The sequence below is a fragment of the Homo sapiens genome, chromosome 12 (genome assembly GCF_000001405.40).
Source record: "Homo sapiens chromosome 12, GRCh38.p14 Primary Assembly".
Taxonomy (NCBI): domain Eukaryota; kingdom Metazoa; phylum Chordata; class Mammalia; order Primates; family Hominidae; genus Homo; species Homo sapiens.
Window position 1 is genome coordinate 44,696,528 of NC_000012.12, and position 26,327 is coordinate 44,722,854.

General features: G+C 35.0%; 1 protein-coding gene across 6 annotated transcripts in view; it reads right to left on the reverse strand.

Moving 5' to 3' along the window:
- Window positions 1-26,327, reverse strand: part of NELL2 (neural EGFL like 2) — a 413,574-nt gene that overhangs the window by 188,253 nt on the left and 198,994 nt on the right. For all 6 annotated transcript variants that reach the window (XM_011538396.2, NM_006159.2, NM_001145110.2 and 3 more), the window contains 3 exons: window positions 18,123-18,214; window positions 14,765-14,867; window positions 7,199-7,327 (listed from right to left, as the gene is read on the reverse strand). In XM_011538396.2, coding sequence (XP_011536698.1) covers window positions 7,199-7,327; window positions 14,765-14,867; window positions 18,123-18,214 — 324 coding nt within the window. The remainder of the gene's footprint in view (window positions 1-7,198; window positions 7,328-14,764; window positions 14,868-18,122; window positions 18,215-26,327) is intronic.

Sequence of the window (26,327 nt, forward strand, 5' to 3'; positions counted from 1 at the left end):
ATTTAATAAATAATGAATGTTATGAATGAACAAATTCCTTTTCTTGCACTATTCAGAATAATTTTTAAAGCCCAATAGAAATCAATTTAAAACTCAATCCCTTTTTAGCTACAAAAGTCAGTATCATGATTAGATTTTCTTATATATAATATAAACACAACTCAATAAACTCAGTGCTTGCCCTGAGTCATTCTTTAGTGATGAGTCAGCCTAATGGTGCCCATCAGTTCAGCATATCTAAGCATTTCAAACTATCAGTAAACAAATCTTTCTTAGGCTCTACATTGCCTCTATTTTAGAAGTTTGTGAGAATTCAAGGAAAATAAACAGGCTGTGATTACTAGGCACTTATAGTTGAGGGAAGTATACACAGATACATATATTGAATTCTGAATGAATAAATAACACATCTGAATTAATAAATAACACAGTATATAATAAAGTACAGTAAGGCCTCCTCGCTTAACATAGGTAGGCTCTTGGAAATGGCAACTTTAAATGAAATGGCATATAACGAATGTAACCAACTTTAACATAGGCTAATAATAGTTGTAAATAAGGGTTAAGTTCTTTCAGCATATTTCTGGTCACAGAAACATCACCAAACTTCTAACTAAAGACCAAAACACTTCTAATATTAAACATGGAAATAAACGTGAGCTATACATACATTTAAGAACCACTAAAAAAACAAGTAAGATAATTATTTACCCACTTATTTCAGTTCAGGGTTGGTGATGGCTGGAGCCTGACCGGGCAGCCCAGGGGACAAGGCAGGAACCAGCCCTGACCAGGATGTCATTCCATCATAACACCACTCACACACACCCACAGTCACTCACACTGGGGCCATTTGGATACGCCAATGAGTCTACCATATACAGCTTTGGGGTATGGAGGAAACTGGAGTATCCAGGGAAAATCCACACAGACATGGGGAAAATGTGCAAACTCCACACAGACTGTGGCCCCAGTCAGGAATATATATATTTTTTCTCATCAACATTATAATGAAACAACATTAAATGAAATGACGTTATTTGAGGATGTGTTGTATACTCCAGCTGAACAACTGGATATAAGCCAATATAAAGTGCTAATCGTTCAGTCAGATAAGATAAAAAGAGAACATGAGAAAGTAATTATATGCACACAATAAATTCATCAGGAAATCTTCACAGAGAAGATAAAAATCAAGCAGAGTCTGTAAGAATGATTAAATCATGGACTGTTAAGCCAAAAAGCTAAAGGCATGTCTGCCAGATTGTATTAGTTTTCTAGGACTGCCATAATAAAGTACCACAAACTGGGTGTCTTGCACAACAGAAACTTATTGTCTCACAGTTTTGGAGGCTAGAAGTCCAAAATCAAGGTGTTGACAGGATTGGTTCCTTCTGAGGGCTGTGAAGTACAACTTGTTCCATGCTCCTCACCTAGCTGCTGGTGCTTTGCTAGTGATTTTGGTTTTCCTTGGCTTAAAGTCACATCATCCTGATCTCTGTCTTCATGTTCACCTGATAACTTCATGTTCACATAGTGTAATTTCCCTATGTGTCTGTATCCAAATTTCTCCTTTTTATAATGAAAGTGATCATACTGGAATAGGGTGTCACCCTCCTCCAGCATGATTTTATCTCATCTTAACACATTAAATCTGCAACGTCCCTATTTCCAAATAAGGTAACATTCTCAGATGCTCATGGTTAAAATGAGAATGTAAATGTGAGGTGGGGTGTGAGGGTAACATAATTCAATTCATAACTCAGATGAATCATTATCAGCAAAAGAAATGATTATGGTAGGTGACCTGCTCAGGGCTAATGGATAAATAGCTACATGTGACCAGGTGACATACAGCCCTGGAAGCTGGGCAAAGAAGTTCAGACTTGATGTGGTGAGCAAGAAGAAGGCACTGTGAACACTCAAGTAGAATAAATGATGTTTTATGAATGTTAATCTGGAGAGTGGGTCCTGGCTGGTTAGGAGTAGGAAGAGACAAAGGAGGCAGAATGTCTAAACAGGTGACATGAAGTGAAAAATGACACCTGGAGGCAGGAATCAGAATGAAAGAGATTGAATGAATCCAAGAGAAACTAGGCTATCAGTAAGAAATTAGGTACTTGGAGGTGGGCTCAGACTATACTAAACTATTTCCCATATTCTTGTTAATTTGAAGAAATGTCTCACAAACTTACTTTAAAATTCATTAATAAGGCATCAATTACCAATTTTTATAATTATGTGTGACATGCAATCATATAAATGACTCACTTATGCAGGACTCTTCCTGTTCTTGGTATAATGTCAAAGGCTTAGATAGGAAAATCACAGTTTGGAAATCACAAAAAACTTCTTCATTGTAATGCGCTATTGGACTGACACAGCTGTCATCCCCAGCAACTATTATGCACTGAAGAAAGAAACTTACAAAATGACTCCAGAAGCCACCATCTAAAATAGAATGCCAAGATAACTCTAAAATAATACTGAATAGTGGAATGTGAGGATAGAAGATATAGTCAAAACATCAAAAGATCCCATAATTTTCAGTGTCAAGTGAAGACATGTAGCAAAAAACCAGTCTGAAAAACAGGATGTCCAACATAATTTTTGACAACTTTTATATCTTATATGTAGTGACAAAATACCAGATGAGAGGTAAAATATTTAAAAATGTAGTAAGAAATCTATAGGAGGTGAGATGGATGGATGGCGATGAATATATAATTTTTTAAAGAGAAATGTGATAAGCATGCAGTTAACAAAACACTAAAGTAGGCCAATATACTTCCAGACATTCTAGATCCCTTATAGGAAAAGCTAGACAAGCCATGCTGTTATAAAATCCTAATATTATACTATGTTTATAAATATCTGAGGTGTTGCAAAACTCACTGAAGAACAAGAAGTTATCATCTGCCTGGCTGAGATACTGGGGCAAGGAGAAAGGGTACAGAAGTTAAATGAGAAAAAGTGGGTCGGGCAGAAGAATCCCTTCTTTAGCTTCAGGTCCCTTAAGCTACTTCCTTTTTCCATCCCTTTGTAGGCAAACACCTAGAAGAACTCTCTCTCCTTTCTCCAGGTTCATTTTTTTCCCTTAGACAATATTCAATGTACTCCAAACTGGCTTGTATCACCAACTTTGTACCAAAATCACTATTGCTGTCCTCAATGTCATCTGTGAGGTTCAACGCAAAGGACATCTTTCAGTCTTCATTTTTCTTGATCTCTCAGACACATCCTACTTTCTTCTTAAAATTCTCTCTTCTCTTGGCTTCTGTGACACCACCTGCTCTTCTCTCTCCTCCTACGTTTCAGCCATGAGTTTGCTATCGCCATCACCAAATAATCTTTTCTATAAAATGCTCAAATGTTGCTCAAAACTCTCTAGACAATCCCTTCCGTCTCCTCAACTAACATTTAGATGCCAAAGAATTCCAAATTTTCTGTCTAACTTAAACTTCCCTTAATGCCAAATTGAAGTATATTCAACTAGTTACTCACCTTAGATGTCCCATAGGCACTCCAAACCCATCATGATTTTCTCACTCAATCTGTTCCCTAAGTGAGCAGCACCAACATCTGCCTATTTATTAGTCCAGAAACCTGGGAATCAACCTCTAAACCTCTCTCCTCATCATCTACTACCACCAATTAATCAAGACTGGCTGGTTTTACCTCACAAATGCTCTTAGATGCATCCACATCTCCACTTACATTTTTAAGACAAGCCCTCACTGGCTTTCGTCCATTGGTTTCCCTGCATCCAGCCTTTCTCCTGTTCATCCTACAGCTGGAGTGATATGTTTAAAACACAAGTGTGATCACGAAACTTCTCATCTTAAAATCTTTAATTAGCTGTCCCTTGTTCTTAACATGAAACTCTTAATCTTTAGTGTGACCTTCAAGATCCTGCTTCTCATTATCAGTCTCACTGGGCACCTCTCCTGTGCTCTCTGCTACTGGCCTTCCTTTGGTTCTTAAAAAGTCCTTCTTTCTACCTGAAGGCCCTTAGATATGCTGATTTACCCATGTAAGAAATTCTCTTCTTTTCTACTCTTCCTTCTATGATTCCCTGACTTTTACTTACCCTTCAGATTCCAGAATAAAACTCTTCTTGTTCAAGCAAAATTTTCCCTAACCCCACCACCCAGATCATATGCCCTATTAATCTATTTCTCTTTTAGAATAGTTGCCACATTTGCAATGAAATGTTCTTTGGTGTAATGAAATGGCATGTTAATTATCTTCTTCGCCTGACAGAATATTAGTCATGTATATCTAATTTACTGCTTTATCCTTATCTCTAACCTTGCACAAAGTAAGTACTCAATAAATATTTATCAAATGAGTGAATGAACTCCAGTAGTTACCAGTGTTATGATAACCATGATCAGGAAAACTATTAGTAAAAATCAATAGTCTCAATTACAGTCATATCATTAAGCAACCCCACAGATTTAGTAAATAAAATTGTATGTTATTTGCAAACAATGGCTTGCTTATTTTTATGTATAATCACAAGTGTAATTTATTTAAGGACCAAATATATACCATGCAAAATTGCATTAAAAATGTTTAAAAAGGTGTTCCTTCTAAGAAGTCAAAACATCCTCAAAGTTAGCAACCATGCCATAATCAAAAGGAAAGCCATATTTGATAAGAATTATTCAAATCCTGAATAATATTGTTATTTGGAATAAATAACAAAAGATATATTAGAAGTCCTTATATATAAAAAAATTCAAGATATCTTGAATTTGATGATATATGTTCAACAAATTTTTCCATCACTTTCTTATGTTTTGAAGATTATATATTTAAATGACAATTAGTATAAAGTTGTAAAACATCTGTCATTGTATAGTGCATTCAAGATGAAAACAGCTGCCAACCTGTGCCACAGATTTTATCCAGAACACTTCCAGATAAAAACTGAGTGACTTGGTCTTTATGATTAGGCCAATTTTCAGTAAGCTGCATTAAACAAGTAAGGTAATCTAAATCTCTGGCCCCTTTCCTTAACTTCTTTCCTGTCTCAATGCCATCCATGTGTTGCTCAGATTCCAAATCTTGGCTCCTTTTGATCAATTCTACACCACAATAAACTAACTGCAAGTATTTTTGGCTCTACTTTCAAAACGTACTATGAATATACCTTACTCCTCTTCACTTCCTATAACTTTCCTTATCCAGGCCATCAACATCTTTACCTGGACTACTGCAATAGCCTTCCAACTCATCTCCAATTTCCACAGCTCCCCATCACTCCCAACACAATAGTTCATCTATCACACTGGAGCCAGAACTATCCTTTTCAATACAGGGCTGAGCATATCACTCTCCTCCTTGATGCAACTCTGAAATCCTTGCAAACTTTCCTACATTACCTGGCCCCTGCCTAATTCTCCAACAGGATTTCCTTCTTTTGTCCGCTCCACTACGTTTTCCTTCATTTTGTTCCTAGAGCATTCTAAGCTCATTCCCACTTAGAGCCTTTCCACTTTTTATTCTTCTGGTTGAAGTGTTCTATCCAAGATTATTACATGGCTGTTTCCTCTCTTATCATCAAGTCTCAGGTTACCACCACTCTCCCCTCACTCCCTGTCCCAGAGGTTGACCACTCTGAATAAATCCCCAGCCAATCTCTAACACATCATCCTGTTTCATTTTCTTCCTATTAATTTTTACTACCCGAAATTGTCTTCTCTAGTTCTATAGTCACCCACTAATTCTGTCTTAGCTCCCAGAATGTAAAGCTCCTGAGCACGGGAAATTCTTAAGTCTTGTCCATCATTTACTCCACTTTACATCAAGCCTAGAAAAGTGTTCAGGATGCAGTAGGTGCTTACTAAATATTTATTACATGATCGAATATACTTAGTAGCATCAAAAGCAGCTCAAAATTTAAAAAAAAGCAATAATCATATAAGTAAAATTCAAAACAAAGTATCACATGAATTTGTATCATGTAGTTTCATGTTATACATATAAACTACCAGAGGGGCTTGTTACATGTTAGAAATCTCAAATATTATAATCAAAATACATTAGTTTCCTAAGAAAGTTTACCTCTATGTTATGTAAGGGTAAAAATCCATTTTTATGAAAAATCTTTTAAGATGAGGAATTTTAAATAAATCTGCATTATGAATGGGGAAGGGAAGCCATATTTCTTTTCTTCTGCAAAACTGGAATGATCCCTTTAGGACTGAATCAGTAGCATTTAAAGAAATATTTTAATCCAAAGGTCAATTTAAAAAATGAATAAGGATTTTTAAGAAAAAGAAAAAACTATTTAAGCTAAGGGAAACAACAGAAGTTGGTTTCCCGAGAGCCAACAAATCATCCTGCAGCTAAACAGAAGCTGTGTGTTTATACCTGAGGTTTTCCATCTCCACAGATCTATGACATATGCTTTTCATGTGGAGTGGGTAAGTTTAGAACTCTCCAAAACTTTCTCTGAATGCCCAAACACCTCTAAATCAATGTTCTTATTTGTAGAACTCATTAGCTAGTTACACAATTAACAGGAATGATTCAAATCCATACCTCAGGGAAATCATAAATTACCACATCTCATGGACTTCGTCAGGAAGAGTCAAAGCCAGAGCATTTGCAAATGCCAAGAGTCCACTCACTGTATGTGGACAGTTTCCATGAGAGAATAAACTATCTTGGATATTAGTTAAGATTTTTAAAAATTAACTAGAAAATGATTTACTCCACTGGAGCTATTTACTAAATACTACAGAGCATGAATACAACCACTTAGATTACTTATAGTAGCAAACAGAAATAGCAGTAGGCACTTTATCTTCCTGTTAAGTGATTGCCTTTGTTACACAACACTGTCTGGAAAAATCTGACTACGATTCTAACTGCAAGCCACAGTAATCATGTCAATATGTGAGCTATCTGAATATCTAATTATGAAAAAAAAGAAGGCAATTTCACAGTGGAAGAATTGTTCTAATTCAAGAAACCAGCCATATCAACTTATTAGTGTGACATATAGCAGATAGCTGAAAAACTTTAATTTGAAAGATAATTATTTTTAGCTGATTAATATGCTTCAAATTAAATTCACTGCTTTTAATGGGCCCATCAACTTGACAACCTGGGAACTTAATAAATTTTGCATGCAGTAATCCTAGAAAATTTATACAGCTGAGCTACACATCATTACAAGGATTACCTTCACAGTAGGCATTATCCTCTCGAAGAGCCCTAAAACCATCTCGACAGCTACAAACAGCCCTGTCATTCAGATTTCTGCAGATGGAATTCTCCATGCAGTTATGCCTTTCAGAACAAAAGTCATAACCTACAGAAAAAAAAAGAAATTTATTAAGGTAAATGAAACTATGACAATGCAAATTTTTCCTACTTAATATTTTCTTTAATTTTGAAGCTATGACTCCCTAAATAATTTTTTAATTAGTATCTTCATCAACATTTACAGAAGAATCACATGCTATGAGTACCAAAAACTTCTTCTTTATGTTTAACTCAATTAATTTCGATTTCAAGTTAACTCCATTTCTTTTGTGGTTTTTGACTTTATAAATGCTATCTAGTCCCTAATATTCTAATTATAACCCTCCATATATCTGAAAAAAAGAAATATTATTAGGGTACAAAATGAAGATTTATAATATAGAAGATAACACAATGAGAAGGTAATCTGGTAACTGGAGGTTCAACATTTTCAATACCTGTGGGTAAAACAAACCAAGCCAGATGAAATGTACCTATTGTGTATTTAAGAAATTAGACAGCTTAGCATCCAAAAAAAACAAAACCTTTCTAAATGTGTTAAAGATGAATATTAAATCACTTTAATCTAATTTTCTCTAGAAATCTGCAAGGCAAAGTATGCTCACTCTAAAGAGGAAGAAAATTTTTAGGAATTATAGAGATTTCACAGATCTCAGAGTCTTTATAAGAGAAAAGAAAAATGGAACATTTTATAAATAGTGACAGCAATCATGTGCAATTTCTCAAGATCTCTTTTTGTGGCCTGAACCCCTTGTTCAAAGATCATCTAAGATGCTGAAATGAAATCTTCAAAACTGGAATCTATATTTAATGGAAATTACATAATTATATATAATTCAACCAGTTTTAAATTACTTGATGTATGCTATCTATCTAGGTTTGCACTTTCTAATGGATTACTATTTTAGCCCATGTAAAGAAAGAAGGTGGCTGGGCATGGTGGCTCACACCTGTAATCCCAGCACTTTGGGAGGCTGAAGCAGATGGATCATTTAAGATCAGGAGTTGGAGGCCAGCCTGGCCAACATGGTGAAACCCCGTCTGTACTAAAAATATAAAAATTATCTGGGCATGGTGGCAGGTGCCTGTAATCCCAGTTACTCTGGAGGCTGAGGCAGGAAAATTGCTTCAACCCGGGAGGCAGAGGTTGCAGTGAGCCAAGATCGCGCCGCTGCACTCCAGCCTGGGCAAAAGAGTAGGACTCCATCAAAAAAAAAAAAAAAAAAGGACTAAAAAAGTATATTTCATGTATCTTAGAATAATCTGATCAACCTATAAGCAAGAAAAGACTTTTACTTGCGAAAATCATATAGATGGAAGTACTATATTGGTTCATCTTATCTGTAATCAAATTGGTGTTCATTCGATTAGAATTCCAGAGTTAAAACATACTCCCTATTAATGCAACTATGATGTATAGTAAAATATTATTGGTACAACTTAATAACCCTTAAGAAGAGTAATGTTCCAAAAATGTAATAATACCATTAAAAAAGAATAGAAAAATAATCAAATGACTCAGTGATTTCTACAAAAATAAAATAAAATCGAACATAGGTTTATTAAGTCCAGAAAAATATAGTCAATAACAGCATTTAAAATACTTGGCAACGTAGCTTCTTTTGACAAGAGTCTTCACAATCTAAACTGTCATGATTAAGGCTGTACATTTAAAAGTAAAATTCTTAAGAAGAGCAAAAGTTAAAAATGCTTTCTCCTAGGATCTTTTTATTTCCTTCTTCTTTAAATAGCTAAATTCAGATGATATTTCTTCAAATGTATTCCGCTGTCTTTTTATAATGCCTGAGGGAGAACAATTTCGGCTAAAAAGTCATCTTCACTATCTATCCCAATAGCTCAGCACAACATCAAACTAACTAAAAAGGCTTCAAAAACCACTTTATATTTATTCTATATTAAAACAAAGTTACTAAAAAATAGCCTACTCCTTAAGATACACAGAGAATTAAGAAACAAAGCTCTAACACAGTGCTAAATTTCTGCATAATTTTGCCTGTACTGTTTCAAACAACTTTCAGAGGACTGTGACTAAGAACGGATACCATTTCTGATACACCTTTTTTTCAAAACCTTCCTTCAACTTTTCACTTGGTTGAATTTTCTCCTCTCCCATCTTGGACTCTGCCCAATATTATCTATGCCATATGTGATATGCCACCTCTATTATCATCCATTTTCAGTTCTGTTTCAGTAATGGTGAGACCTCTCATCTCAGCATTAAACATCTTGCACACATACACTATGTAGAGTTTAATTGCTGCAAGAATTTTCTCACTGTAAGATAACAGTGTGATCCAACTTTCACTGTTTTAGGTAAAAATTAGGAAGTGCCTTGCTTTTTATCAGATGGGTTTTTTTAAACACAAATACTTGAAAAATTAAAATTTCAGTCATTCGAATTCCAATTCTCTATAAACAATGTCAGCTATTTTGATTCATTCTTCCAACAGATAAGTTGATTGAACCTACTGGTTATTTTGCAAAATGCTAGGGTCAAAAAGCTAACAATTAATGGATGGAAAATTCAGACTTGATTTCGAGTGGGTTGCTTCTGATCTATAGGGAATAGCTTTAAACAAATCAGAGTATGGGTTGGCAACATAATCCTATTATCTTCATAGTTGCATTTCCATTCATATGTGCTTGGCTATTGGAGTTGGCAGGCCTGAGTTTACATCTGATCTCTGCCACTAACTTGCTGTGTAAATTACTAACTGTACATTAATTAACCTTTCTAAGCCTTCAGTTTTTCTCACCAATAAAAATTAGTATAATAACTACCTTGTAAAAATGTGAGGTTCCAATGAAATTATCTATGTAAAAGCATAATAATATATTATTCGTTAATAACTAAAGTTATTAGAGCACTACTAAGCTGAAATTAAATATGTTGAGATCCATAAAAGAAAATTCAAATATTTGTTATAGACAGATGGATGAACCAATTATCTAATACAACCTAGCCTTTCTTTGATTTCCTTCTTTAGGTTTTAACTTCAAGGATATTATGTTCTCTAATCCCTTTGCAAGCTTTACAAAATTACATAAAGTTCTATGTTTTTCTATCAAGTGTAGAACTTTTGGTAAAATATAAACATGCATTCTTATATAACTGGAAAAGAGGGGAGGATGGATACAAAAGATTATGTGTAAGTAGGAACAGTATATATATAATACATAATTATCAAGAGAAAGAGAATACAATAATTTTGTGGTGAATATTTATAGGTTTTGCCTAAAGGCATCTATTTCTTGTTTTTGTGGAAAAAAAGAATAACCTCGTTATCACTCACCCCTACTTTCAGCCCAGATGCTTATAAGAAAATGGACTCTACTCCTCCACAGGATAGAGTCACACCAGCCAATGCAGTCCACTGGCCTGGACACAACAATTTCTTCAGGTCAGGGCATATTATCTACTTCAAGCTAATGAAGACCACTGAAACTCAATTCTGGGGGTTTTATTCAGTGTATGAGAATGCTGAGCTTTTTCTTCCACCTACTTGAATGGCATAATGATATGAGCGTAAGAATGTAGGGGTATAGCTGAGAACACATCGAGCCTCAAAATAAAGCTATCTCACAGGAGATAAACTGAGAGATGCATCAAGACAAAGGGACGAGATTTGAGAGCAGAATCAAGCTACACCTGAAGCCAATTTATCCTCTGCTTATTGGGCCTACATATTCCATTTTTTTGCCATGAAACTTGAATTGGGTGTTCTATCACTTGTACATGAAAGAATATTAATTTAGGTGTTGTTTGCAAGATAATGGATTATCCTAGTGTTTCCTAAAGTGTAACTCATGTACGTGGATGAACATAAAAAAATACTAATACCAACGGATTTCTTTTAATGTGTATAAGAAATACACAAATCCAGCAAATAATCCTATTATTTCATGGCTACCACCGCTTAGGAATAAAACTAAATCTTTTAAAAGTGAGTCGACTATAGTAGGTATTTAAAAATTAACTATATAATGGTATTAGTAACATATACATAGCACATAGCCAGAATCATGAAGGTGATAATTGAATAATATGGGAAACTATGGGTTATCCAGAAGTTTCCCAGGGAAAGGAGAACTGACACTAACTCAGCCTTCTGTATGTGGATGCCCCTATTGCTTATAATTATGAGTTGAGATGAAGTAAATAATAAATTAAGGAGGGCCATCTAGTCAATAAGCCTTAATGATCTTGCAGGCAGACAAAGTGGTTGCCAAGGAGGAGGAGAAGAACCAGAAGGACTGTGGATATAAAGGTTATCCACATTATTTCTTTATCTTTCTAAATCAGAATCCTCACTGAATCACTCAGTCTCTGTCATGTGGTAATCTGTTATAAGCTTCCTTGAAAGGGCTCTCTAATTTGAAAAAAGCGGAAAACTTTTCTGCTACATTTCTTCTGATCTGCTACTACAGAAGATGGCTAGCTACAGGGTACCTAGAACACAGTCTTGGGTGAATTTGATTTAGCGCCTACCAATTTGGAGCCTGACTTCGGTGTGTAGCTTAGTTTCCAACCACTGGCTGAGCCTCTAGTGAAAAAGTCAACACTTCATCTCATGCTCTGCTCTCAGGGAATATTTACTAACTGTTGTCCAACAACTACTCTTTCAGATGTGAACACACCATCTTTAGCACTATACAAATAGGCCTGGAAACAGGAGGCCAATTTTATCACAAATGAATTTGTCACAACATATCTTTAGGAGTTGACTAAAAATTTAAGCCTTGAAAACTTGACTTCTTTTAGTTTGAAAGTTAGAAAATGCCAGGAGAACACGTTTATTTCACATATTTGAATCGGAAATTAATGCAATCTTTATTAAAAATAGCGCTAAATATTTCAAGAAGGGCCAATCTGTCCAATTTCAGTTTGAGGATTATCTAAGCCAGTGGTTCACAATCCTAGCTGTGAAAAATAATTTATCAGGGATTTTTTAAAAATAGTAATGCCAAGGCCCCACTCCTATCAGTTATATCAGAATCTCAGATGGAGGAAGTATTAGTCATGGTATAGTCTATCATTGTATTTTTAAGTATGCTATGTAAACACATTTTTTAACTGTAAATAATTTAAATATAACACAATTTTACTAGCATTTTCCATTTATTAACTTGCTTTTCATAATATATTAGGACTCTTTTAAAAAGAAATAGATGTAGTTAAGGTTTCTCTTGATATCTTAAAGGCCCTATTTCAGCTTTTTACCCAAATCTTATCCTACCCAACCTTGACTAACTTCTACGCTATTCATCTCTGTAATTTCTGTATAGCCCTTGGACACCTGCAGTGTCCATTAAAGATAGCCATTAAAAGTGGTCACAATTTTGCAGCACTCTTATCTATGGTGAGGTCTATTTCCCCTTCTCTTGAATGTGGGCTGCCTGTGAGTGCTTTGACCAATTGCATATGATAGAAGTGATGTGGTGCCAGTTCCAGACCTAGTATTTGAAGGCCTGAGTCACCACTTAAGAAGTCTGATGATTACCCTGCTGGAGAGACCATAGGAAGAAGTCCTTAGATTACGTAGAGAGGGAGGGAGTGCCAGCTGGCTCAGCCTTCTAACCATCCCTACCCAAGGTAACCAACATGTAGTGAGGCCATCTTGAACCTCTCAGCCAAGCCCGGCTTCCAGCCCTACAGCATTGAATGACCCCAGTTAACACCATGTGGAGCACAAGAATCACCTAGCCAAGCCCTGTCTGAATTCCTGACCCACAATACTATTGCTTTAATCCACTGAGATTTGGAGCAGCAATAGATAGTTTTTTTGCAGAAATAGAGAACTACTAAAAGTGTGGTCCTGCTTGCCATCAGCATTAGCATCACCTAGGAGCTTTTTTGTAGAAATTCAGATTCTTAGGCCTGACCCCAGACCTACTGAATCAGAATCTGCATTTTAATAAGATGCCTAAGTTAGTCATATGTATATTTAAGTTTAAGAAACACTGATATGGCCTGCCTATGTTTGGATGCCAAAGACACTCTAGTCAAGCTGCAAACTGGAGGACTGAATCCAAAGAGCATTCTTGATTCATATCAAATTGCACACATGCTTTGTGTAAGGCACTGACTTAGGCACTGTGAGAGTGAAAACTCTTATGGTCCTTATTATATGTCTATGTGATCATAGTTCTTTTTAGAAGTGTTCTTTATTACTGCAGGTTACCCTGAAAGCTCCTCGAAAGGCAGACCATGTCTTAAACCATTTTGTAATTCCTAAAGAGCCTCACATAAAATGAGATTTAAAAACTATTGAGTGGATGGAAAAGTAACTTAAAAACTAAAAACAAAACCAAACTGCACCACCCTGCTAAAAATGGGAGTGGGTGATCTAGGATCTATCAGATCCTATGTCCACTTTTAATAGAGTAAGTTAAAAGAAAACAAAACAGTGTATGTTTCATAATGTTTCTTTGTCTTACTTTTTCTATTTAAGCTTTGTTTTGCATCAATATAAAGGTCATTATTCAAACAAGTACTAGTAGCTTATTTGGGGCAGTTTGTTATACAGCACCAATTACATCAGTTATAAGTACCAGCTACATTCCAGGTATCATACTAAGTATTAAGGATATAGAGATGAACATAAAGACTCAGCCCTGCCCACAAGGTGCACTGTCTAATGTAGAAGATGGATTCATAAGCATATAATTCCCGTATAATACAGGAAGGCACATATAATTTCATGATTGGCAAGGATCTTAAAGAGTTCCATATAATCAATGCTTTAATTTAATACATGAATCTATAATAAGATACCTAGTTTAAAAATCTTTAGTGATGGAAATTCACTGCCTTCTGGGGTGGCCTGTTGCATTTTTGAATAGCACAAATTTTAGTGTTTTCTTATCTTCAACTAATAATTGAAGTCCCTTCTAATTACTAGTTCTAGTTGTATCATATCAGAGGCAACACAGAACAAACAATGTATGTCTGATGGCCTCTCCATTCTCAGTAGTCCAGAAACCTATGGGTGAGAATTGAGAGTAGAATCAAGAAGAAAGGGATTTGAAGTAGTCATAATGAAAAATATTCTAGGTAAGTTATAAAAAGAAGCTGAGGAGAAATGAAAAACAAACAAAACTCACTTGCCAAGAAACAGTAACTGCCAATAAAATAACTAACTCAATATTGTTGTGTAACTTTCTTTAGCAAAGCTGTACTGACTCCAAACCAGCACACAGAGAGAAATTTAGAGATCCAGAGCTTGAGACAGGTTCAAGACAACTTGCAGAAATGCACAGGAGCAGTTCAGTTTTAATTCAGTTCAGTAAATATTTCATGACTACCTACTGTGCTACTCTGTGCCAAATTAGGAGAGCATATAGGGAAATACTATTAGTCTATGGAAATAATTTGCTTATGAGAATTTCTACTTCATGTCAGTTGTACTAGCCTACTATAATAACTCTTGCACGTAAACCTTACTTTTCAAAAAAGTCTTACCTTTACAAACTTTGCAACAGCTGTGAGACAAGGTTATCTGATGAGACTCTGGACAATCCAAAGCTGGACAGCCTGAACTCTCAACAAGTTTCATGGTCTGGTCCTGTTAGACAACAGAAAAGAAGTGCTTCAAATTTTATCATTAGGACTTGTTAAGAAGTTTCCAGATCCAGCATCTGAGAAGACTCTTTTAAGATCAAGAAATTTTTGTCCTGAGGACCTCTGCACAGGTCATGGGCTCACTCCCAAAATGACATTAAATCCCAATTGGAAAGTCTTTAGAATAAGCAAGTCTTTAGAATAAGAATCAGCCACACTGATTCCACCACACTGCAGCCATGTCTATAATTTGCCAAACATCTGGGTAATCCTGGAAAATTTTGCTAGTTTTACAACACATTTTGCAAGCCCAGATGACAATTGTGGCAAAGATACAGTTTGAATTATATCAACAGCTTTTGAAAAAAAACAGTAAATTAAAATTGAGCTTTCGAAACATTTCAGTTTTCTTATAAAGTTTTATTATAAGGAGATTCTCACAGATGATTCTGGTAAGAAATATTGGATGTCTTCCACAAAACTACAGGGAAAATGAGGGCAGGATTCTTGTCTCTTGTAAATTAATGTCTAGCACATTTTCAGGCACATAATTGGCACTTAAAAAATTTCTTGAATAAATGAATAAATCAATGTAAAATCACTGTAGTTCTTGCAGCCAAAAAGATTAAACACTTCCCAAGGAGAAACCAAAATACAAAATACACTTCTGATAATTGAAGTATTCTTGCCTTAGGAGCAAACATTTGTTTTCTATACTGTCAGTCTCCAATGTCCTAAAAACAAGGATCATTAACTATGTTATATTATGCTAACCAATACATAAGTAATTAAATAACTCTTGGAACTTGCAAGCTTCCATGTTAACTACTGCTCAATAGCTTAGATTTGTAGATTGAATTTCTGCAAGGAATGCTTTCATAGAAGAAGTGCACATTTCAATATCTGCCTTTTCCTGGCTCATTTATGTAAAGGACCTTCTCCAAATCATAAGCTCTTGTCAAGAAGCTTGGCAGGAGGCATGTATACAGTGGAGTCAAACGCTAGTCTTCTTTTGGTTTAGTAGTAATATCAGTTCTGGTAATCTGATTTTCTAAACCACAGTGTTTTTCTGTGTTACTATGAAAGTCACAGACCCCTAGGACTGCTAATATTTTCAAAAGGACAAAACTGACAATAAAAGAACAAACAGGGACTCGAATTGACAGCCCAGAAAATGGATGTGTGAGAGAGCTGTCAATTCTGCAACACAGTAAATACAGGAGCTAAGGGCCTTGAAGGGAAAAGAAACTGTGGAACACCTTAAAGTGAAGAATTTAGTACAAAAGCTTATGATGATCTGATAGAGCTGTGCTGTCCAATCAGTAGTCACTAGGTACATGTGGCTCTTTTACACTGTAATTGCAAAGTATGCAAGAGAGTTTGAAGACTTGGTGTAACAAAAGAATGTACAATATTTTATTAATAAATTTAATATTGATTACATGTTGAAATGATGATATTTTGGATATATCGGGGAAAACAGAAAAAAACTAGTCCAATAAAAATTACGTTTGTGGCTTGCATCATATTTCTATTGGATGGTGCAGCATTAGAAGGTAGAAAATGGTGCCTTTTGTTTGAGCAAATAAAAGGTAACATTCACTCATTTATCTAAAATTTATGAGCACCTGCTGTGTTGCCTCTATAAAGACTTCTAACTGAACCTATTTAAAATCAAATAATCTTATATAATAGCAAATTTAAAATCCAATAGGCAATTATACCAGTACATTTCTAAACCACAATTATCAGTATTATGAGACACATTCTGGTAAAATGAATAGGATACACACACACACACACACACACACACACACACACACACAGAGAGAGACAGAGAGAGAGAGAGAGAGACAGAGAGAGAGAGAAAGAGAAGTAGAGAAACTTTAAATGCTCTCAAGATTTTTAAATTTAGAACCAAAATTTTAATGTTAGAGATTACTATTAGAAGCCAGCTGGCAGAAGTTTTCTTCCCTCCTTGAAGTAACTTCTCTGAGTCTCTTTTCTCATTTTGGAGTTACTAGATCTCACTCTGTCTTCCAATTCTTTTATCTATTGTGAGACTTACTCCACTTAAAACGGCATTGGTGTAGGGAGGCTGATAAAGGAAAATCCATCATCTTGAAATACAGGTTGAGGAATTCATTTTAATGTTCCTGTGCCTCTATTCTCTAAGATGAGAACCTACATCATTGGAAAGCTGATTTAAAACTAAAAGAAGAAGAGAGGATACTTTATAATGGGCATGAAGAAATCAGAGCTTTCATGTTCTAGAAATCAAATCTGTCACAGTCTTGCCTCTTTGCATCTCCTCCTTGCTTATCTCAAAGGATTTCCAAATTAAGATGCATAAACTGGATAGCTTCTTTCAGATTCAATTTGTCTTAGCAAAATTCTTAGGATTTTCCTTTCCCTCACTCTTAGCAATCATAGTTTATTGGTGGTGCCAGCAGCATAAATCACTATCTTAATTTTCTACATAATTTATACATACTAAATCATTTCCCAAACCATGTATAGGAGGTATTTAAAGAGGAAAATTAACTATCAAATAAAAATGAAACCCTAAAGCAGAAATTTTATATATAGACAGTTTCCTTCATATAGAATAAGGATTTTAATGTAACATTAGGGTCAAGAAATATAACATTATAATTTACAAAAGACAAACATGAAAAGTGTTGTGAAACATATTTAGTTTTTCAATTAGTAGGTCGAGGGGCAAAAATTCAAATGAATCACATTTGCTTCAGAAACCTTGGCAAGTAAATTTGTAAGGAATTTCCCTTTAACTAATTTAAAACACTCCTTCCAAAGGGAATTAGATAAATATCAGTCTCAACTCCATCCAACAATTAATTTTAGTTAGGTAATTTTTCGTTTTGTTTTTAATTGAACTGAGCAATACTTCTCACATGGTACAAAATCATGAGTGACAAAAAGCTAAGTCTAACTTCACCTACATTTTCCTCCCAAGAGCAAATAAGGAGCTTATTTGAATTTGGAAAACATACGACAACTTCATAAAGCTTTAATTTGACAAAATAGCATTTTCATTTCTTGGAAAAATTATTTTTCAACCACTAATTTACATGCTTAAAAATGAGAATTTCTTTACATTCAAATGATAATTAATATTGTGAATTTTCTCTTTGCATTAGAATTTCAAAAATGTATTTCAAGGTTGAGCTAGTAAAGAAACTTTTATCTTGTTTATAAATAGAAACAATTTTGAAAGACCCACGAATAGTCTTCTTACCTTGCACTCATAGAGAACACATACTCCAGAAGAGGAATAGACTGTATTTCTTTCTCCTTCAAAGTAGGTTCGTCCTTGAAATTGGCATATCGCTTTGGAGTAAAAAATACATATATATTTATTTTATTGGGAAAAATAGCTTAGAAGGGATCAGATCATCTTGTAACAGCATTCCACATGTTATACACCTTTTTTCAACATGTATGACTAACCAGAAACCTCAATTCAATCTACTGCAAGGCACATGTAAACTTAAATTAGTGTCATGCAAATTAAGTTGAGAGAGTAAAATAAGATATAAAAAAGATAAAGGGCAATGACATGTCTGAATTAGACTCTGAAAAAGTAGTGCCAAAAAGCAGACTTACAGCCAATTACTTGCCTAATAGATGATGTCCCACTTAGGGCATATTAAGTAGTCACTTAGGGCGGCAATAAATCAGGGGTAATATGAGACTCAGGGAACAATATGAGAAAAGTTTTTGTTTTATATACCATTACAGAATTTTAAAATAGAACATTATAATAGAAAGAAGGTATATTCATTTCAGCACATCCATGTAAGTTTTAAGTTTTATGGTTTAGTGTCATTTTATTTATAAGTATGTATGGGTTAGGGCACCCCATCTAGGATGCTGAGAGGTCTGAATCTGAACCTGCCTTGCTTCCATCACAATTAAGTGAAATTTTAAAATGTAACCTTAGATTCCATGGGAAAAATATGTTTTTAATCCATAAAAATGCATAGAGTATCAAATAATCTTTTTCTAAAACCTGCAACATATTTACAGTTCACACAAACATTTAGCCAACAGAAATCATTTCCTTGTTTTGAAGTATTTCACACGACCTACACTGACTCATCACCTAAGGTGAAACAGATTTACCCTAAAGCTAATGATGCCTAATTTTCAGCGTCCTTCTCTGGCTTAGGCTCCTTGTAAGATGCTGAACTAAGTTCTCCTTTCATAATTTTGTATTGTTTATCTTTGAAAGGCCACCCAATATTGTAGATGCTTCAGGTCCCCATAACATCTAGATCTACCCCAAGATAATTATTTCAAAGACCAGTGGAAGTGATCAACTGATACAGACTCTGGCAATTTGTTCCCCAAATTTACTAAATCCAATTTTTTATTTTAACTATACAAATTATATAAAGTGAATGGGTATATTTTCTTTTGATTCCACTGTGTGAATTATGAGAAATTGTCTCACTCTTTGGAATTTATATATCCCTATTACCTTTAAAACTATCAACTTGCCAATAATAAAGAAGGAAGAAAGTAGACATATTTTTACTTTTAAATTTTATTATTTATTTTTTTCTTTTAGAGACAGGGTCTTGCTGTGTTGCCCACGATGGTCTCAAACTCCTGTCCTTAAGTGGTCCTTCTGCCTAAGCCTCCCAAAGTGCTGGGGTTATAGGCATGAGCCACCATGCCTGGTCTATTCTCTTAATAATATCAATATATTGTTGTACAAATATTCATTCCCAAAGTATAACCTGACTCTCGCTTTCCTTGAAAAACTATTTTAAAGTTGCACATTTAAATAATGTCAAATAAATAAATTAATTAAATAATGGAAACCATGCACGTTTTTTAAAATGTCATCCTCCAACTGATCTCCTTACACAGCATTTATTAACAAATTTGACTACATAATGCATATCTCCTAGCCAACTGATTTTGAACTTTTTAGAGCTTGCTAGCAAAGAATAAAATTTACTTGCACTAATCATATGACTTAAAGTCTGGCTAAAATATGCTCACTCGTGAATATTCAAAATGAAACTATGTATTTGTCAGTTGCATACTATCTATCATATTATGAATTAAAATGGTATGTGCATTTACTTAATAAACATGATTGATTGCAAAATTTACCTCTCTGACATCTAATTTTTAGGATTTTTTTGTTTTTATGAAACTCAGTAACCTCAACATACCAAGACCTAGCATATTGCATGTTTAATTATACTTAATAAGTACTATATTTTATAAGATAATGAGAATAAACAAAACCTTTCTTACATCTATTCAGTACCTGCCATTCAAAAGTTTCTAAGCCTATTATATTATACGACTTGATAACTGCAGCCTATTCAAGTCCAAGCGTATGTGGAAGAAAAACAATGGTGCTCTAAATCTTACACAGAGGGGAAAGGAAACATTGTAAAAAAAACACAAGGGTAAATTCTCCTTATTAAAAGTCTTTTGATAATTTAATATTCATGTAGAGCAGATGGGCCTTCTGTTTGAGACTCTTAATTCAGAAGACTCAAATAGGCAACTTGTGGGACAATAGGGCACCAAATGGAGCTTGGCAGGGAGGGAAAAAGCACAAAAATGAATGAGGTCACAATTGCTTAATTCTCTTTCAAGCAATGAGCACAAGCAGGATGAAGTTGGCTTAGAGAGAAACCAAAGTGAGTGATTTTTATCTCATTTCTTTTTTGATCAGTTGCTGTAATTCTCCATAAGTCTAATGTTGACATGGAATATTCAGTAATACTAGTAGGATATTTCTTCCCTAGACTCTTTAGAGGAGAAATGTGAAGAAATTCAAAAAAGATATAATGATTCCTAAAAACACTGCAAGGAATCATAAAAATGCCATTAGAATGGCTCTAGGAGTTTTCTAAGAGAAGACTGAGAGAGTAACAGTCATGTTAACCTATTCATACATTTAACAAATATGTACTGAGCTCCTATTACATGTTAGATATTCTCCTAGGTACTGGAATTCAAAGACGAATTTAATGTGCTTCATGCCTCAATATTTAGTAGGGCAGACAGACTCATACACAACTAACTCTAAGAGAAGTCAAACTGAAATTCTATGATTAAATAATCCATAAGTTATATGGAAACTCAGGAGACCGAACGAACTTCTAAGAAGGGACAGCTGGATTAAGATTAAGAAAATAAACAAGGGCTGGTTAAGGATCCAGACTGTGGTAAAAGCAAGGGATCATCATTACCCTAAGGCTAAGGAACAAGGGAAGAAAATGGTTTTACTAGAGTCCAGTGTAAGCCAGAATTATGGAGGAGAGGCTGCCTTGTAAAAGCTGTAATCATGAGAGCACAGCTACTGCCAGAGACATAGCTTGGTGCAGGAAAGAAACATAGCCAACCTTCTCTCCTCCTCCTGCCTTCCAGTTTCCTGCCAGTGTCTCCCATTGGTGAACGCTACTTGAAACTAGCTGGCAAGGAGACCAGAGTGATGCAGGCTGCAGAAGTCAGGCTCCTGGGGGACAGAGGACAAAGAATGGAAATGGGAGTGTTGGGTGCCCAGGAACAATAACAAGAACAAATGTCTATTACGTTAATTCACTATAAGCCATTAAGAGGTCTAGTTTACCAGGATAGCTTGCTCAGAAGGGCATGAGAGAGCGGAACACAGAAACAAAAGATTTGAAAGAGAAAACTGATATTTTTAAAATGTTGTCCCTCCTTGAGATTATCAAAATGAGGTTTATAGGCAGCCAGAGGGTAAAATGAGGGAACTGAGCTCTGGGAAAATCAAGTGTGTAAACAGAGGAGGGAAAGCAGATCGGGCCTATGCCCTAATTTTAACCAAGGCGAACCCATGCAGGTATCAGGTGCAAATTCTGAGAGATAACAATAATCGCTGGCTACCACAATGGCTACAGGACCGTCCCTGGAATTCTCTAACTGAAAAGTATCTGCCTTCTAACCTCTCCCCAGTAGAGTATAAAGTAAGAAAATTCACTTCCTCAATAAAACAATAAAGGAATAATCATTTTTACTATATTTGTTGCTCCTTTTAACCATGTTAATTGCATGCACATGTTTACAGCCAGAGGCTTCATTTCTTCCCTAGTTTTGTTGTGTGGCTTGTGTATATGTGAGTGAGTGTGTATACCACATTAAGTTCTTTATGATGTAACTTTGGATTTCTACACCTCCAATCACTTACTAGCTTAAAGCAGAACTGTTTCAATTAGGCCATATTTTCAAAAGTCTATGCTGAGTGATTGATTGAATATATTATGTGTATATACTTTAAGATATAAAACTTCTAGGGAGATGTACTTAATTTATTCATACAGGCTTATCAGTTTGTAGACTAAGAATGCTATACCATTTTGAAATCATATTAACCCACAGAACCACAGCTACTTGTTAGTTATTAATATTAAACAATGTGAAATGCATATTTACTCGACTCTAGTAGGTGCTGCTGTTGGCATAACTCCAGGCAGTGCATTCACATCATGGTCTGTGTGATTTAGGTCACCCAGAGCTTTCCTATGCACAGTCTATTCAGTTATAAGTGGAGACATTAACAACAACTTGGAGAAATTCAATAGGACAATATAACACTTGATGTATACGTTCTACCAAGGCTATCTTAAACATTACAAACTGGATAGTCACTAGCATCATAATTATGATGGAATCCAAAAAAATCAATTAATAAAAATTATTTTCACTTCATTTTCCCCCATTTTAAGAACATAAAAACGATTAACAGCAAATAGGAGCCAAGAGATGCTACAGACAAATTTAGAAGTCATCAGTTGTTAAAAAGTGAAAGGTAATTTATAACACAGATTGAGAAATGGATAAGTGAAAGAAGCCAGTAAAACTCTGAAAATTCTAAGTTGCACATTAACATCTTGATTTACTGGTCATTAATGCAGAGATGGCAACTGCAGTTTCCTCTAATGAGATTTTAATGAACTTTAGCAAACCCTTGTAGAAAGAATCATCTAAACCTATCTAAAAACATTTCAGAATATACAAGCAAAAGGGCATCATATTTCACTTTTAAACATTTCCTCACTACATATCTAGCTTTTTCCTCTTATTACCTGATTTAAAATTCATGCATCTACTTTAAACTTCCCAGTTGGTACCAATACCTTTAAAAATGATTCCTTACAAAATTAAAAGTTATAAACACCAAAAAGAAAGCCAGTGTAATTCACTTAAGTGAGTCATGGGACTTACAGTTTCTTTAAAATTCTTTTTCAAAACACCAAATATCAGTGATCTTTGGATTGACAGTCTGTTAAGGACAGAGTTTTATATAGTAGTAGCTTTCCAATGGTATTGTTTGAAATTTTGATTCCCTTTGGGAGACTTCTTAAAAATGTATAATAGCAGTTACTTCATTCTGAGCCAATATTTTGTTAGTGATATACAAATCAAAGCTGTTGGATGAGAAAAAAACTCATTAACTATAATTATGTATATTTGTATTCTTATTATACATTTTTGAAAAGAATGTACAATAAATGCATTCATGAGGCAGGCTAAGATTCTGCAAAGTCAAACAAAAAATTTTAAAAGTGTTTTAATATTCTTAAAAAGCTCCAATCAGCTATGCTGCATTTATCCTGCCTACAACCTTTTTTTGTTAACTGGACTCACTTGGAGTCAATTCTTAACAATATGGTCATAATAAAAGTATTGAGCACTAACTGATACAAATTAATCTCTCTCTCTTCTCTACAATGCTTAAATCTCTATTATAGCACTGAACACATTTTCCTTTTCTCTAGTGAGTTGTACACTTTTTCATCTTTCTTATCTCAGGACAGAGTGTCTTACTTGTCTTTGGATTTTATTCAGCACCCAGCATGGGCCCTGCATAATATACTCTCAAGGTTTGTTAAATTTTTTGGTAAATTCTCTTTCAGCTTCCTGTTTGATAAAGAAATCTAAAAATAAGTGAACTGAAACCTCATTTTTCCCTTTACATTTGGTCTCACCTGTGGAGTTTGCATCTTATAAAAAAGATTCTATAGCCTGTGTCTTACAGAAGGAGTCTGCCCTTTCTGTAAAATGACAGCTTACTTTCAACTCGAGCACATTTGAAACATCTGAAATGGGAGCAGTAAGAAAGTAGCTGGTTACTCTCATAGCAGTAACTTACTAACATGAATAATGCAAATTAGCATGCTCAAAGAAAGTCTGCTCGGACAATGTAATGACAAAACTTTCTTCTTTCCCTATATAAAACCAGTTTTTGTGAGTCAATGCTATTTAAAATGATCAGAAGTTCAGAGTGCTTAAATAATTCACAAATTCATGAATTAGACATGATCCTGCCCCTTAGCTAAATCTCATTAATTGTTTGGGAATTTAGTTGTTTGCCAAACTAATATTAGAGTTTAAGAAGTGAGATCTTGATAGTAGTTATGCAACCTCCCTTTTCTGTTTTATATACACCATGTCCTTGGGCTTCTAAAGGACCAAAGTGTGCTTCCCATAGGTGGCCTTAATTTAGGTCAGTAGCTTATTCTTCCAAAAAGAGAACAGGCCCTGAAATACTGTAAATTTAGCAGTAGTGAGGGGTTAGGAGGCAAAGGAGGATAAAAGTACCTCCCAGAATAGAACAAGAGCAAAAATTCAAGCACCCTGTCCAGATCAGCCTCTAGGTTAGAGAATGTATATGCTGAGGAAACAAAAATTGAATGTTTAGAAGTTAATAGCAAAAAAGCACACGCTATTGCTGTAAGCAGAGATTCAGCATTTTTGACTCTAACTTTACCAATTTAAATGGCAATCTAAAAATATTCTGAAATTCTTTTAATTTAGCTGCTTTTCTGTCACTAGTCTTGTTCTTGATCCTGGCTCATATACCATATAACAGTCTATTAAAACAACAATATAATCAATTCATTTAGTCCTCTGACAATATGAAAAATAAATTGAATGACTGGAGGTAAAGATTTAGAGGAAAATACAGTATTTGTGTCAATACTTAAATACTATTAAAGCGACAAACATGGACACACATGAAGAAAGGTTTCATTACCACTACACAAAGAAATATAATGTATAATATAGTAAGGAAAAGTTTACATATTGTCACTTTCAAAGTTAGAACTAGAATCCATATGACAGTCCTTATGTGCATCTTTTCTTACCACCAACCCAGTGAATTTGGTCAATACAGGAACATCGTCTTTGGTTTAACTTTGTGTAACTTTTTTTTTTCAAAATGCCCAGCACCATTTAGACACATGTTGTTTTGATGTTATAGTGACGAAGATATTGAACACAAAATGCTGTGTGAACTGCAAAGCATGATTCTTTTCATTATAAACCAAATATTAGTGCTCAACTAAGAGATTACAAGTAAAAAAACATTGAAAAAGTGATTTTGCTCTTTTATAACAGTTTCTGGTGTGCAGGTAAAACAAAAGAGGTAACTATTGAGGTGCAGCTCTATTAGGAGGAAATTTTTCAATGCAGTTTCATGACAGCTATATTAATAACTCCATTATGCAAAGAATGTGGGCCAAGATAAGAGAAAAAGCACACAGTTAAAGGGAGCAAGCTCTGTGTAGAGTAAGACAAGCGGAAGGAATGGCACAAAGAGGAGGGAAGAGAGAGCAGAGGAAGCAACTGAGGACAGAAAAATTTGATAGCATACTGGAGATGGAACAGGAGAAGGAAAAGGAGTAAGCAATAAAATGATAAACAGGAGAACCAAAACAATTTCATAAAGACATGGGGCAAGAATGGTAACACCTGGTGAAAATAAGAAACTTTTTTTTTTTTGCAACAGGGTCTCACTTTGTTGCCCAGGTTGGAGTGCTGTGGCACGATGAACTGCAACCTCAACCTCCCGGGCTCAAGTGATCCACCTCAGCCTCCTGAGTAGTTGGGACTACAGGCATGCGCCAAAATGCCCCACTAATTTTTTAATTTTTTGTAGAGACAGGGTCTCACTCTGTTGCCCAGGCTTGTTTTGAAGTCCTGACCTCAAGTCATCCTTCAACCTTGACCTCCCAAAGTGCTGGGATTATAGGTGTGAGCCACCACACCCCACCTAAGAAACATTTATTGACACTGAAACACTGTAGTAGAAAGTCATCTTCCCTGCCTTCAAGGAGCATTCAGCCTAATGTGGGAAATGATGGGCACATGCACAGGTAACTAAATATAACTCAGAGAAGAACACAGTCTTACAAGGGTGGAAATGGAAATGCTTCACACAGAGGAGTGTTTGAAAATAAGCACTGAGGGTGAAATGATTTAGCATGATTTAAATCAGGAAAAGAGTACTCATAATACATTCAAAAATAGAGTAATAATCACAATAATATACTTTGTCCCAGGATTCCAATGAACATCCAGTCTAGAAACCTATATTACCTGGAAGTGATTTATTATAACTTGGTTTTACCTATACTCCCAAACCAGTAGGCTGATGGATCTC